The 16,083-nt window shown below is 42.7% G+C and overlaps 1 pseudogene; it reads right to left on the bottom strand.

Moving 5' to 3' along the window:
* On the bottom strand, positions 13,120-14,956 carry LOC348958 (mitochondrial ribosomal protein L10 pseudogene; annotated as a pseudogene).

Here is a 16,083-nt window from a genome sequence, read left to right as displayed (position 1 = left end):
TGTGCCCAGGCAGGGGCTTATGTGATTTGAACTTCCCACAGGGGCCAAAGGAGGAAGTATCCAGGCTTTCTTATCAATGTGCACAAAACTGGGGCAGAAGGGAAAGAGGGAGGGGTGGGGCTTAAGCTATCAGCAGTCAATCTTCAAAAAAATGAATCAAGCTCTTCATTACATTGGGCTGCACTTACGATCTTTTATATAAGGCTATGAGACAGAGATCTGTTACATAGATGCTGTGTGTGCCCTAATCTCCTTCAAAGAGAACATGTGGCTTAAATGGAATAAAAATAAGGGCACATCAAACTCTTTGGGGGGAAAACTACTTTTATAAATACACAGCATTATCAAAATCATTATTCCTCTTCAAGGTATTTGACTTTTTAAGTCATTTCTAAATCAGCTACGGGCAGCGATAAGGTTTGGCTTTGTGTCCCCACCCAAATCTCAAGTAGAACTGTAATCCCCACGTGTCAGGGGAGGGACCGGGTGGGAGATGATTGGATCATAGGGGTGGATTTCCCCTATGCTGTTCTCATGATAGTGAGCGAGTTCTCACAAGCTCTGATAGTTTTAAAGTGTGGCAATTTCCCCCTCACTTGCTCTCTCTTTTTCTCTCTCCTGCTACCATGTAAGATGACATGCCTTGCTTCCCCTTTGCCTTTCACAATGACTGAAAGTTTCCTGAGGTCTCTCCAGCCATGTGTAACTGTGACTCAAGCCTCTTTTCTTTATAAATTAGCCAGTCTCAGGTAGTTCTTTATAACAGTGCTGAAACAAACTAATACAGGCAGGGATATCATTTTTCTGTTTAGAAAACCAACTTTAGAAAGGCTAAGTGCTTTCACGATGTCAGAAGTATTATCAAAGGGTCAAAAGATTTTATACTTAATATCTCTCAGTCAGGACATTAAGACAACTCTCAGAGCCTTTATGTTTTATATAAAATGTTAGATTAGAGAAGCTCATTATTTAATTGAATTAATAGAAATAACCACTACATTTAAACCCTCAGAAAATAAAGCTGCAGATCTTTGTCAAACAAATGGTGATAATAATTGTAATAATAGCAGCTAACCCTTATTGAATGTCTTTAAGTTTCGAGAACTCTTCCAAAGACATTATAGTTATCCTCATAACAAGTCATTGGATTAAATATTAATATTCCAATTTTGCAATGAGGAACTTGAAGCCCAGAAAGGTTCAACAATATGACCAACATCCCATAGTGGCTGAGTGAAGAAGTGAGAATTCAAGCATAAAGCAGGAAGACAACGCATTAGATTAAACATTTCAAAGTTGTATTTTAGTTTGGAAAACACAGATTGATTTAAACTAAAGAATAGGAAGTGCCACACTGCCTCTCATTTTAACCTAGTTAGGATAAACTTTTATTCTGTTCTATTTAATTTTTACCTCAGAATATTAGGGGTAGAGCATCCAAGAAAGTAAGTAGCCAAATGAGTAGGCATTAAACAGATTAATTATTTGAGCTTTTACAATTCAATGATCACATCAATGTCAATTTGGAATTTAGTCCTGTATGCCCTGTTGGGTCTTCAAAGCAATTTTCTTGTGCTGAAATCCATGTACAGTTATATAGTGAACTAAGAGGAGGCACTGATTTCACAAGTAACTACAGACTGATGAGTTAAAAAAAAAAAGTTCAACCACTGTTTAACTTTCAACTTTGGAGAACTTAATATAAAATGAACAGTTCTATATATGATTTATATTTCAGGGCACTCTCACACACATCTCATTTAATCTCCTCATTGACATAGTTCTAATAACAGAAAATGTACATCAACACATGTAGAGCAAATAACTTACATAATCAAACTATGTGTATGCTAATGTAAAGGAGTGTGCCAAATACATTTTATAACCCATCTTACATCCCCTTGGCCTGTCACTTTACTCAAGCCATTTATGTGGCAATCAGTGGTGCCTCAGATACATCTTGATAAAATGACCCTCAAGCTGCACTGCCTCTCATTTGTTTTCTGCCCCAGGCTTCTCTGTCCAGTGAGGTTTGGTCTATGCTGAGTCATGAGCAAACCTAGAAGTGTGAGAGCATTAACAACCCTGGAACAACCTTCGATCAAAGAGGATAGTAACTGGTAGATAAATATTTCCATCTTCCCCATGAGAGGTGCACACATCCCCATGGATGGATGATTCTGAAGCACATTGTATAGAGAAGCTTTGACCTCCATCTCCCCCCAGACGTTTTCTTAAAAATGCATCCTTAGATGGGCTGTCTTCCTTCCCATTTCACTCTTCCCAATTCATCACGCTTATTCTGCTTTATTGGATTAGGTTATGATAGTTAACAGTGTACATATATATATATACACTATATACATGGGAACTATTTCTCAAGCCATTGACATAGGATCTGCTTTATGAAGGAATTCAAGCCAAATCAGAGCATTTAAGTAACTTACAAAAGAGACTGCTAATATTAGCATTAGAATTACAAACCAGGTCTTCTATCTCCTTAGAGTATGATATGGTTTGGCTGTGCCCCCAACCCTCCAAATCTCATCTTGAACTGTAGTTCCCATAATCCCCACGTGTCAGTGGGAGGTAATTGAATCATGGGGACGGTTTCCCCATGCTGAATGAGTTCTCACAAGTTCTGATGGTTTTATAAGCATCTGGCATTTCCCCCACTGTGTCATTCTCTCTCATGCCACCCAGTGAAGAGGTGCCTTCCACCATGATTGTAATTTTCCTGAAGCCTCCCCAGCCATGCAGAACTGTGAGTCAATTAAATCTCTTTTGTTTATAAATCACACAGTCTTGGGTATTTCTTCATAGCAGCATGACAACGGACTAACACAGTACGTTGCTACTGCAGAGAATAGGACAATTATGTAAAGATACCCGAAAATGTGAAAGTGACTTTGCAATTGGGTAACACGCAGAGATTGCAACAGTTTGGAGGGCTCAGAAGAAGAAAGATGTGGGGATGTTTGGAACTTCCCAGAGACTTGTTGAATGGCCTTGACCAAAATGCTGATAGTAATACAGACAATGAAGTCCAGGCTAAGGTGGCCTCAGATGGAGGTGGGAAATGTGTTGGGAACTGGAGTAAAGGTCATTCTTGCTCTGCTTCAGCAAAAAGACTGATGGCTTTTTGCCCCTGCCCTAAAGATCTGTGGAACTTTGAACTTGAGAGAGATGATTTAGGGTACCTGGCAGAAGAAATTTCTAAGCAAAGCATTCAAGTGAAGATAGAGTATAGAAGTTTGGAAAATTTGCAGCCTGACAATGCAGAAGAAAAGAAAAACCCATTTTCTGGGGAGAAATTCAAGCTGGCTGTAGAAATTTGCTTAAGTAATGAGGAGTCAAATGCTAATCACCAAGATAATGGGGAAAATGTCTCCAGGGCATCTCAGAGAACTTGGCAGCAGCCCCTCCCATCACAGGCCCAGAGGTCTAGGAGGGAAAAATGGTTTCCTGGGCCAGGCCTAGGGTCCAGGGCCTCCCTGCTGTGTGCAGCCTCTGGACTTGGTGCCCTGCATCCTAGCTGCTACAGCCATGGCGAAAAGGAGCCAAGGTATAGCTCAGGCCATTGCTTCAGAGGATGCCAGCCCAAAGCCTTAGCAGTTTCCACACTGTGTGGGTCCTGCAGGTGCACAGTAGACAAGAACTGAGGTTTGGGAACCTCCACCTAGATTCAGAGGATGTATGGAAATGCCTAGATATCTAGTCAGCAGTCTGCTGCAGGGGCAGAGCCCTCACGGAGAACCTCTGCTAGGGCAGTGCAGAAGGGAAATGTGGGGTCAGGGTCCCCACACAGAGTCCCCAGTGGGGCACTGCCTAGTGGAGTTGTCAAAAGAAGGCCACTGTCCTCCAGACCCCAGAATGGTAGATCCACCAACAGCTTGCACCATGCACCTGGAAAAGCCACAGACAGTCAATGTCAACTATGAAAGCAGTGAGGGGGGCTGTACCCTGCAAAACCACAGAGGCAGAGCTGCCCAAGACCATGAGAGCCCACCTCTTGCATCAGCGTGCCCTGAATGTGAGACATGGAGTCAAAGATCATTTTGGAACTTTAAGGTTAAATGACTGCCCTATTGGATTTTAGACTTGCCTGGGGCCTGTAGCCGTTTTGTTTTGGCCAATTTCTCCCACTTGGAACAGGTGTATTTACCCAATGCCTGTACCCATATTGTCTCTTGGAAGGAACTAACCTGTGTTTGATTCTACTAGCTCATAAGTGGAAAGAACTTGTTTGTCTCAGATGAGACTTTGGACGTGAACTTTTGAGTTAGTGCTGGAATGTGTTAAGAATTTGGAGAGGAGGAGCCAAGATGGCCGAATAGGAACAGCTCCGGTATACAGCTCCCAGCATGAGCAACGCAGAAGACAGGTGATTTCTGCATTTCCATCTGAGGTACCGGGTTCATCTCACTAGGGAGTGCCAGACAGTGGGCGCAGGCCAGTGTGTGCGTGCACCGTGCGCGAGCCGAAGCAGGGCGAGGCATTGCCTCACCTGGGAAGCGCAAGGGGTCAGGGAGTTCCCTTTCCTAGTCAAACAAAGGGGTGACGGACGCACCTGGAAAATCGGGTCACTCCCACCCGAATATTGCGCTTTTCAGACTGGCTTAAGAAACGGCGCACCACGAGACTATATCCCACACCCGGCTCAGAGGGTCCTACGCCCACGGAATCTCGCTGATTGCTAGCACAGCAGTCTGAGATCAAACTGCAAGGCGGCAACGAGGCTGGGGGAGGGGCGCCCGCCATTGCCCAGGCTTGCTTAGGTAAACAAAGCAGCCGGGAAGCTCGAACTGGGTGGAGCCCACCACAACTCAAGGAGGCCTGCCTGCCTCTGTAGGCTCCACCTCTGGGGGCAGGGCACAGACAAACAAAAAGACAGCAGTAACCTCTGCAGACTTAAGTGTCCCTGTCTGACAGCTTTGAAGAGAGCAGTGGTTCTCCCAGCACACAGCTGGAGATCTGAGAACGGGCAGACTGCCTCCTCAAGTGGGTCCCTGAACCCTGACCCCCGAGCAGCCTAACTGGGAGGCACCCCCCAGCAGGGGCACACTGACACCTCACACGGCAGGGTATTCCAACAGACCTGCAGCGGAGGGTCCTGTCTGTTAGAAGGAAAACTAACAACCAGAAAGGACATCTACACCGAAAACCCATCTGTACATCACCATCATCAAAGACCAAAAGTAGATAAAACCACAAAGATGGGGAAAAAACAGAACAGAAAAACTGGAAACTCTAAAACGCAGAGCACCTCTCCTCCTCCAAAGGAACGCAGTTCCTCACCAGCAACGGAACAAAGCTGGATGGAGAATGATTTTGACGAGCTGAGAGAAGAAGCCTTCAGACGATCAAATTACTCTAAGCTACGGGAGGACATTCAAACCAAAGGCAAAGAAGTTGAAAACTTTGAAAAAAATTTAGAAGAATGTATAACTAGAATAACCAATACAGAGAAGTGCTTAAAGGAGCTGATGGAGCTGAAAACCAAGGCTCGAGAACTACGTGAAGAATGCAGAAGCCTCAGGAGCCGATGCGATCAACTGGAAGAAAGGGTATCAGCAATGGAAGATGAAATGAATGAAATGAAGCGAGAAGGGAAGTTTAGAGAAAAAAGAATCAAAAGAAATGAGCAAAGCCTCCAAGAAATATGGGACTATGTGAAAAGACCAAATCTACGTCTGATTGGTGTACCTGAAAGTGATGTGGAGAATGGAACCAAGTTGGAAAACACTCTGCAGGATATTATCCAGGAGAACTTCCCCAATCTAGCAAGGCAGGCCAACGTTCAGATTCAGGAAATACAGAGAACACCACAAAGATACTCCTCGAGAAGAGCAACTCCAAGACACATAATTGTCAGATTCACCAAAGTTGAAATGAAGGAAAAAATGTTAAGGGCAGCCAGAGAGAAAGGTCGGGTTACCCTCAAAGGAAAGCCCATCAGACTAACAGCTGATCTCTCGGCAGAAACCCTACAAGCCAGAAGAGAGTGGGGGCCAATATTCAACATTCTTAAAGAAAAGAATTTTCAACCCAGAATTTCATATCCAGCCAAACTAAGCTTCATAAGTGAAGGAGAAATAAAATACTTTATAGACAAGCAAATGCTGAGAGATTTTGTCACCACTAGGCCTGCCCTAAAAGAGCTCCTGAAGGAAGCACTAAACATGGAAAGGAACAACCGGTACCAGCCGCTGCAAAATCATGCCAAAATGTAAAGACCATGGAGACTAGGAAGAAACTGCATCAACTAATGAGCAAAATCACCAGCTAACATCATAATGACAGGATCAAATTCACACATAACAATATTAACTTTAAATATAAATGGACTAAATTCTGCAAGTAAAAGACACAGACTGGCAAGTTGGATAAAGAGTCAAGACCTATCAGTGTGCTGTATTCAGGAAACCCATCTCACGTGCAGAGACACACATAGGCTCAAAATAAAAGGATGGAGGAAGATCTACAAGCCAATGGAAAACAAAAAAAGGCAGGGGTTGCAATCCTAGTCTCTGATAAAACAGACTTTAAACCAACAAAGATCAAAAGAGACAAAGAAGGCCATTACATAATGGTAAAGGGATCAATTCAACAAGAGGAGCTAACTATCCTAAATATTTATGCACCCAATACAGGAGCACCTAGATTCATAAAGCAAGTCCTGAGTGACCTACAAAGAGACTTAGACTCCCACACATTAATAATGGGAGACTTTAACACCCCACTGTCAACATTAGACAGATCAATGAGACAGAAAGTCAACAAGGATACCCAGGAATTGAACTCAGCTCTGCACCAAGCAGACCTAATAGACATCTACAGAACTCTCCACCCCAAATCAACAGAATATACATTTTTTTCAGCACCACACCACACCTATTCCAAAATTGACCACATACTTGGAAGTAAAGCTCTCCTCAGCAAATGTAAAAGAACAGAAATTATAACAAACTATCTCTCAGACCACAGTGCAATCAAACTAGAACTCAGGATTAAGAATCTCACTCAAAGCCGCTCAAATACATGGAAACTGAACAACCTGCTCCTGAATGACTACTGGGTACATAACGAAATGAAGGCAGAAATAACGATGTTCTTTGAAACCAACGAGAACAAAGACACCACATACCAGAATCTCTGGGATGCATTCAAAGCAGTGTGTAGAGGGAAATTTATAGCACTAAACGCCTACAAGAGAAAGCAGGAAAGATCCAAAATTGACACCCTAACATCACAATTAAAAGAACTAGAAAAGCAAGAGCAAACACATTCAAAAGCTGGCAGAAGGCAAGAAATAACTAAAATCAGAGCAGAACTGAAGGAAACAGAGACACAAAAAACCCTTCAAAAAATCAATGAATCCAGGAGCTGGTTTTTTGAAAGGATCAACAAAATTGATAGACCGCTAGCAAGACTAATAAAGAAAAAAAGAGAGAAGAATCAAATAGACACAATAAAAAATGATAAAGGGGATATCACCACCGATCCCACAGAAATACAAACTACCATCAGAGAATACTACAAACACCTCTACGCAAATAAACTAGAAAATCTAGAAGAAATGGATACATTCCTCGACACATACACTCTCCCAAGACTAAACCAGGAAGAAGTTGAATCTCTGAATAGACCAATAACAGGCTCTGAAATTGTGGCAATAATCAATAGCTTACCAACCAAAAAGAGTCCAGGACCAGATGGATTCACAGCCAAATTCTACCAGAGGTACAAGGAGGAACTGGTACCATTCCTTCTGAAATTATTCCAATCAATAGAAAAAGAGGGAATCCTCCCTAACTCATTTTATGAGGCCAGCATCATTCTGATACCAAAGCCGGGCAGAGACACAACCAAAAAAGAGAATTTTAGACCAATATCCTTGATGAACATTGATGCAAAAATCCTCAATAAAATACTGGCAAACCGAATCCAGCAGCACATCAAAAAGCTTATACACCATGATCAAGTGGGCTTCATCCCTCGGATGCAAGGCTGGTTCAATATACGCAAATCAATAAATGTAATCCAGCATATAAACAGAGCCAAAGACAAAAACCACATGATTATCTCAATAGATGCAGAAAAAGCCTTTGACAAAATTCAACAACCCTTCATGCTAAAAACTCTCAATAAATTAGGTATTGATGGGACGTATTTCAAAATAATAAGAGCTATCTATGACAAACCCACAGCCAATATCATACTGAATGGGCAAAAACTGGAAGCATTCCCTTTGAAAACTGGCACAAGACAGGGATGCCCTCTCTCACCGCTCCTATTCAACATAGTGTTGGAAGTTCTGGCCAGGGCAATCAGGCAGGAGAAGGAAATAAAGGGTATTCAATTAGGAAAAGAGGAAGTCAAATTGTCCCTGTTTGCAGATGACATGATTGTTTATCTAGAAAACCCCATCGTCTCAGCTCAAAATCTCCTTAAGCTGATAAGCAACTTCAGCAAAGTCTCAGGATACAAAATCAATGTACAAAAATCACAAGCATTCTTATACACCAACAACAGACAAACAGAGAGCCAAATCATGAGTGAACTCCCATTCACAATTGCCTCAAAGAGAATAAAATACCTAGGAATCCAACTTACAAGGGATGTGAAGGACCTCTTCAAGGAGAACTACAAACCACTGCTCAAGGAAATAAAAGAGGATACAAACAAATGGAAGAACATTCCATGCTCATGGGTAGGAAGAATCAATATCGTGAAAATGGCCATACTGCCCAAGGTAATCTACAGATTCAATGCCATCCCCATCAAGCTACCAATGACTTTCTTCACAGAATTGGAAAAAAACTACTTTAAAGTTCACATGGAACCAAAAAAGAGCCCGCATCGCCAAGTCAATCCTAAGCCAAAAGAACAAAGCTGGAGGCATCACACTACCTGACTTCAAACTATACTACAAGGCTACAGTAACCAAAACAGCATGGTACTGGTACCAAAACAGAGATATAGATCAATGGAACAGAACAGAGCCCTCAGAAATAATGCCGCATATCTACAAGTATCTGATCTTTGACAAACCTGAGAAAAACAAGCAATGGGGAAAGGATTCCCTAATTAATAAATGGTGCTGGGAAAACTGGCTAGCCATATGTAGAAAGCTGAAACTGGATCCCTTCCTTACACCTTATACAAAAATCAATTCAAGATGGATTAAAGATTTAAACGTTAGACCTAAAACCATAAAAACCCTAGAAGAAAACCTAGGCATTACCATTCAGGACATAGGCGTGGGCAAGGACTTCATGTCCAAAACACCAAAAGCAATGGCAACAAAAGCCAAAATTGACAAATGGGATCTAATTAAACTAAAGAGCTTCTGCACAGCAAAAGAAACTACCATCAGAGTGAACAGGCAACCTATAAAATGGGAGAAAATTTTCGCAACCTACTCATCTGACAAAGGGCTAATATCCAGAATCTACAATGAACTCAAACAAATTTACAAGAAAAAAACAAACAACCCCATCAAAAAGTGGGCGAAGGACATGAACAGACACTTCTCAAAAGAAGACATTTATGCAGCCAAAAAACACATGAAGAAATGCTCATCATCACTGGCCATCAGAGAAATGCAAATCAAAACCACTATGAGATATCATCTCACACCAGTTAGAATGGCAATCATTAAAAAGTCAGGAAACAACAGGTGCTGGAGAGGATGTGGAGAAATAGGAACACTTTTACACTGTTGGTGGGACTGTAAACTAGTTCAACCATTGTGGAAGTCAGTGTGGCGATTCCTCAGGGATCTAGAACTAGAAATACCATTTGACCCAGCCATCCCATTACTGGGTATATACCCAAAGGACTATAAATCATGCTGCTATAAAGACACATGCACACGTATGTTTATTGCGGCACTATTCACAATAGCAAAGACTTGGAACCAACCCAAATGTCCAACAATGATAGACTGGATTAAGAAAATGTGGCACATATACACCATGGAATACTATGCAGCCATAAAAAATGATGAGTTCATGTCCTTTGTAGGGACATGGATGAAATTGGAAACCATCATTCTCAGTAAACTATCGCAAGAACAAAAAACCAAACACCGCATATTCTCACTCATAGGTGGGAATTGAACAATGAGATCACATGGACACAGGAAGGGGAATATCACACTCTGGGGACTGTGGTGGGGTCGGGGGAGGGGGGAGGGATAGCATTGGGAGATATACCTAATGCTAGATGACACGTTAGTGGGTGCAGCGCACCAGCATGGCACATGTATACATATGTAACTAACCTGCACAATGTGCACATGTACCCTAAAACTTAGAGTATAATTAAAAAAAAAAAAAAATTAAAAAAAAAATTAAAAAAAAAAAAAGAATTTGGAGAACAGTTGGGAAGGTATGATTGTGTTTTGAAATGTGAGTACATGAGATATGGGATGGACCAGGGGCAGAATGATATGCTTTGACTGGGTCCCCACCCAAATCTCATCTTGAATTATAGTTTCCATAATCCCCACGTGTCATGGGAGGGACTCAGTGAAAGGTAATTGAATCTTGGGGGCAGTCTCCTTCTGTTCTCATAATAGTGAGTGAGTTCTTACAAGATCTGATGGTTTTATAAGAATCTGGCATTTCCCCTGCTAGCTCTCATTCTCTCTCCTGCTGTCCTGTGAAAAGCTGCCTTCCACCATGATTGTAAGTTTCCTGAGGTCTCCCCTGCCATGCGGAACTATGAGTCAATTAAACCTCTTTTCTTTATAAATTGCCAAGTCTCGGGTATTTCTTCATAGCAGCATGAGAACAGACTAATACGGAATACATGAATTAAATGCATGGATCTTTAAGACAAATTCACCTGGATTTGACACTTGTTAAGACCCCCCTGAGAACATGCCTTGACTTTTGTAATATCAACTATTAAACTGGAATACTAATAAAAATAAAAATAATGGTCAACCTTCATTGAGTGCTTCCATGTGTGGACTCTGCTCTAAATGCTCTGTATATTAATCCTCACCCACCTATTAATCCAATTAATCCTCACCAGCCTATTAACCTCACCATAACCTTGTTAAGTATATGCCATTAGTATTATCACCATTTTACAGATGAAGAAACTGGGATACAGAAAGTTTACTATGCCCAAGATCACAAAGCCAGTAAGTGGCACCTCAGGGATTCCAACCCAGATATTCAAGCTCTAGGGTTCACACATTTAACACTACTAGCCATCAGACACAGTGACTCATGTCTGTAATCTCAGCACTTTGGGAGGCCGAGGTGAGAGGATTGCTTGAAGTCAGGCGTTCCAAACCAGCCTAGGCAACATACAAAGATAAATAGGTTTAAAAATTTGCCAGGCATGGTGGCACACACCAGCAGGTCCAACTACTCAGGAGGCTTAGGTGGGAGGATCGCTTGAGCCCAGGAGGTCAAGGCTGCAAAGAGCTATAAGCATACCACTGCACTCCAGCTTGAGCAACAAAGCAAGACTCTGTCTCTAAACAAATAAATACATAAACAAACACTATTAGCTTCACTGCTTCCTTATATGGTTGTAACAAGAAAATGTAATAATAAATTAAAAGACAAAGCATTTAGTACAGTGCCTGGTGCACAGAAATTTCTAACAAAAATCAACAAAAGAAAAAACAAAGTTTGAAACCTGATTTTTTTAATGGCACCAAATATTTCTTTTCGGTCCATTTATCTTTGTTTCTCTAATTTCTTCTTTTCTTGGACTCTCTTCCATTAAAATGTTTGTTAGGGCCCTTCCATCACTCTGACTTGTTGATATATTATCTTTTCCTTGTCCCTCATCCCCAGTTGCCTTCTCCAACTTCTCCCATTGCTTCCTTTCAAATCTCATTTTTCTCAATTTCACAACCATTGACAGATCAGCATGAGAAACATCAGAGATAGTTTACTTTCATGACATTCGCTTCAGAATCTCACTAGAATAAATGTTTTTGTGGTATTTATGACAAAGCACCCCAACCTACCTGCACAAACACAATCAGAGTTTATCAGATCTCTCAATATGTAAATGGAGACTCTCCAGTGATCAAAAGGGACCAACAAAAAAGACCTCCTCCATGCTGTTCTGTGTCTTTGTGGCAGTGTGTGTGCTGGCTACAGTCTGAGGTACAGGGCAAAAACATCAAGTTAATTAGATAAACCCTTTCTTTGATTCATTGGCAAGATCTTCTCTTTCTTTTTAATCAATAGTCTAAATGCTAACTCATTCGCCTTAACCTTTCCTCCCAAATGATAAACACTGATCATAATTTGCATATGCGAAGTAGTCACAAGGAGACCTTCAATTAAGGTGCCTGACAACTACTCTGATTACTACGTTTTTCACAACTGCCAAGAAATGTCTAACTGCAGACTGGAATTCTTTCCCAGTGTAGAAGAATATTGCTTATAGAAATGTGAATGATTCTGGTGATTACTAGTAAACGTCAGCAGATGGCACAGAGATGGTTCCACAATGGATGCACTTTGTCTCCTTAGGCAACCTTGAATTATCCTAAATTACAGAAAAGTTACATCAATGCTGACTTTACACTTTTTGGAACTAAACAGAGTATGAATTAATTTAATTTACTTTAAGTTAGATATTTTCCAATGAAGAAACATTCCCAGGTGTGGTAAGTAAACCTGCAATTTAATATCTTCCATTGAACAATCTTCTCAAGGTGGCCACATTTCCAGAATTTAAAGTAGTTCTATTTCTGTAGCAAGCAGCTGTTTGCTATGATTTGTGGACAGTGGTTAATTAATAAAAAATTAATCTACACATCAAGAGACTTTAATGTACACATCTTACACTGAAATATAACCCCAAATTAAGAGTTTATACCTTATTTGCTCTTTCAGACATAACTTGTTTCAAGTTTCAAATAAGTAACTTTTTTGTTGTTGTTGTTGCTGTTTGTTTGTTTGTTTGTTTGTCTTTGTTTTTCAAGTTAAGCACCCTATCTCCTTTATTAGGAATTTCTGGTTCATGAAGACTTGCTTGAGGCCTCCTACTCTAGAGCCCTCAGAATCCTCCATTAACAGAGAATCCTAGTTTCCCCCCAGCCCTTTTGTTCAGAACCACCAGAGAAATGTTAGCTAGTGGGCACAGCTGTCAGCTGCCTTTAATAGAGCAAGCATGTGCGGGATGCCATTTGTGGGAACAGATACAGGGGAAGAGGATTTTCCTAGGAAGGGAAGTGAGAGTGAGGAAAGTCAGAGGACAGAGAAGCCCCTGAGAATAAGCCTACAGGAAGGACAACCATGTAAACCACAAAATAGAGGAAGTAGAATGTATTTCCTTTCATCGTAAAGCAGTGCTCCCAAACTTTCCATAGCATGGCACAAGGGTGGAGAACTAACATCCAAGCACACCTGGATGGTGGATGGGACCCACTTCTGGGTAACCTGATGAGGAAACTATAGTGTAGAAATTCAGGATGCCGTCTTCAGAGCAGAGTGGGCCTGGTTCAAGTCCCTGTTCTGCCACTTACTAACTGCATAACCTTGTGCAAGCTACTTAATTTCTCGGCTCCTTCTCTGTGACATGGGTACAACGTGGTCAGGAATAAAGGAACTAATGCATATGCAGTGCTCAGCACAAAGCCTGACACACAGCAGGCTCTCACCAGGTGCTATCCTCAGCACGACTGCTTGGTTGAGCTACTGTGGCAGTGGCAGGTTGTGCCCCAAGGGGGTGGGCTCAGGAGCCCGTGCAGCAAGGGGCAGTGACCAAGGCGGCAGGGAGTAGTAGCCTTATCTTTTCAGCCTCTCTGCCTTGGACTTTGCTTCTATTGGGTCCCAAGTTAGGAAAACTAAGGACGAAGCCAGTGACTGACAGCCTCCATTTGAAATGGAATCCTCTGCATCTCCGAGTGGCCCTATACCTGACAATATCATTGTTAGTGAAAGCCCAGTGACAAATGCACTCCCCCACCCCAAGTTCTTCCACATCTCCCATGGAGGACAGCACAGCCAATAGGACAGAGTGTATTTATGGGCAGGGCTGGCTAAACAGGCTGGGTACGAGTCCGGAACAGGGTCAGGAGGATCTGGCTTCCCATTGGCCGACACGACAGAATCCTTCTCGCTTTGCTGTCTGATGTACTGGTCCAATAGGGTGGTCAACTTCAGGGGCTGGTGCTGGAGCAGGGAGTGGGTCTGGGCCATGAGTAGGGTGAGGCCTCCCACAAGCTCCCCCTATGCCAGGGGCAGGCTGGGAAGGCTGGAGTAGTTGATAAAGCCCTGCCTGCTGAGGATGGCATCTACGTCATTGATGCAGCCACCTAGCAGCAGCAGGAATGGCACAGTCCTTAAGATCCTTACCATCTCCTTGACCTTGGGCTCTTCACTGACCAGCAGCATGTTGTGCCCCACAAAAAGGGGCAGGAGATTTTGGTACTTGGAGTCCTCCAGGAAGGGCTTCAGGACCTGGTTGTGGAAGACCTTCATCAGGATCTTGTGTTTCCGCAGCTGGTGTCGCATAAGAAGCTTGTCTGCTACGCTCAGAGCCACGCTCTGGCAGATAGCTATCATTCGGTTGTCCTGGAAAACTGCTGCTCTCTCCCGGCAGAGAAGCCTGATGAGGCCCGTCTCCTGAAATTGGAAAGCAATAACCAAGGGTACATCAGCCGTCACTGCTCCTGGCAACCTTGCTCCCTCTGGGTAAGTTCTAGGGCTTCCAGTGATGCCTCCTGTGGGGGGCCAGGAGGAGATGGCAGGCATGTTGGGTTGACGGCTGGTGTCGGGGGGATATATTCAGTCACAGCCATCAGCTTCTGTCGCTGAAAGTGCATCACACGACGGTGGTGGGTAACAGCCTTGGAGCCATAGCGGACAGTCTGGAGGGCTGGCAGCCGGCCTGCCTGGGGCAGGAGACCCCCTCGCAGCAGCCCCGCCACAGCCGCAGCCATCTCCACCCCAAGAATGGACAGAAGAGTAACTTTTTAAAAAGCAAATATTTAAGGGCCAGTAGAATCCACATATCTTCCATACGGATTTATCTAATGTCAATAATCTACATTTCTTTGCATCTTAGGAAGTAGTATTCTCAGGCTGAATCGCAATAAGCCTCCATGGTAATCACATCAGTTATCAATAATTTCAATTCTGTGGGGATTTTTTTTAGCTTAGTTAACTCAAATATAAATCCCCATATTAAATATTCTCAAACACTATGTTCTCTGGCTTTATCACTAGAAGAAAGTTGTACCATGCTTTAAAATATAATGAAATACAATTTTTTAAGAGTGGCATTTTTAGCACCACTTTTATAGAGCACTTGGTGCAGGAATCAAAATTATTAGCAGTGCCTTTTTTGCTTGTTAAAGAGACTTCTCGGCCGGGCGCGGTGGCTCACGCCTGTAATCCCAGCACTTTGGGAGGCCGAGGCGGGTGGATCATGAGGTCAGGAGATCGAGACCATCCTGGCTAACAAGGTGAAACCCCGTCTCTACTAAAAATACAAAAAATTAGCCGGGCGCGGTGGCGGGCGCCTGTAGTCCCAGCTACTGGGGAGGCTGAGGCAGGAGAATGGCGTTGAACCCGGGAAGCGGAGCTTGCAGTGAGCCGAGATTGCGCCACTGCAGTCCGCAGTCCAGCCTGGGCGACAGAGCGAGACTCCGTCTCAAAAAAAAAAAAAAAAAAAAAGAGACTTCTCACTTTTGGCTGATGGCTGCATCTCTAAATAGATTTTACACTCCCTGCTCAGAGATGGAAAAGCACATACAGCTCTCTTCACATTCAAATAACAATCTCTTCACTCATCACCACCGAAGTCCAATACCCATCCAGAACCTATCAAATTAATTACCAAAGCTTTTCTGCTCTCAGGTTCTCACAGATAAAGCATGCCTGTGAGGGCATTTTACACGTTTTATCCCACTATTCCACAGGATAGTCTTACATTCCAGAATGTACCTAAATGGACTTAAAAGTTCCTCTCCTGTGATCCTGTGAATTAATCATAATGACTGCCCTGGGGAAAAAAGAGAGTCCTCGATAGGAGAGATCCAAAAAGAACTGCTGCTTGGTAAAAGCTCCAGGTTAGGGATATGTCATCATT

Source organism: Homo sapiens, chromosome 5, assembly GCF_000001405.40.
Source record: "Homo sapiens chromosome 5, GRCh38.p14 Primary Assembly".
Classification (NCBI taxonomy): Eukaryota; Metazoa; Chordata; class Mammalia; order Primates; family Hominidae; genus Homo; species Homo sapiens.
The sequence above is the reverse complement of the archived record's forward strand: the minus strand, read 5'-3'. Positions and strand labels throughout refer to the sequence as shown.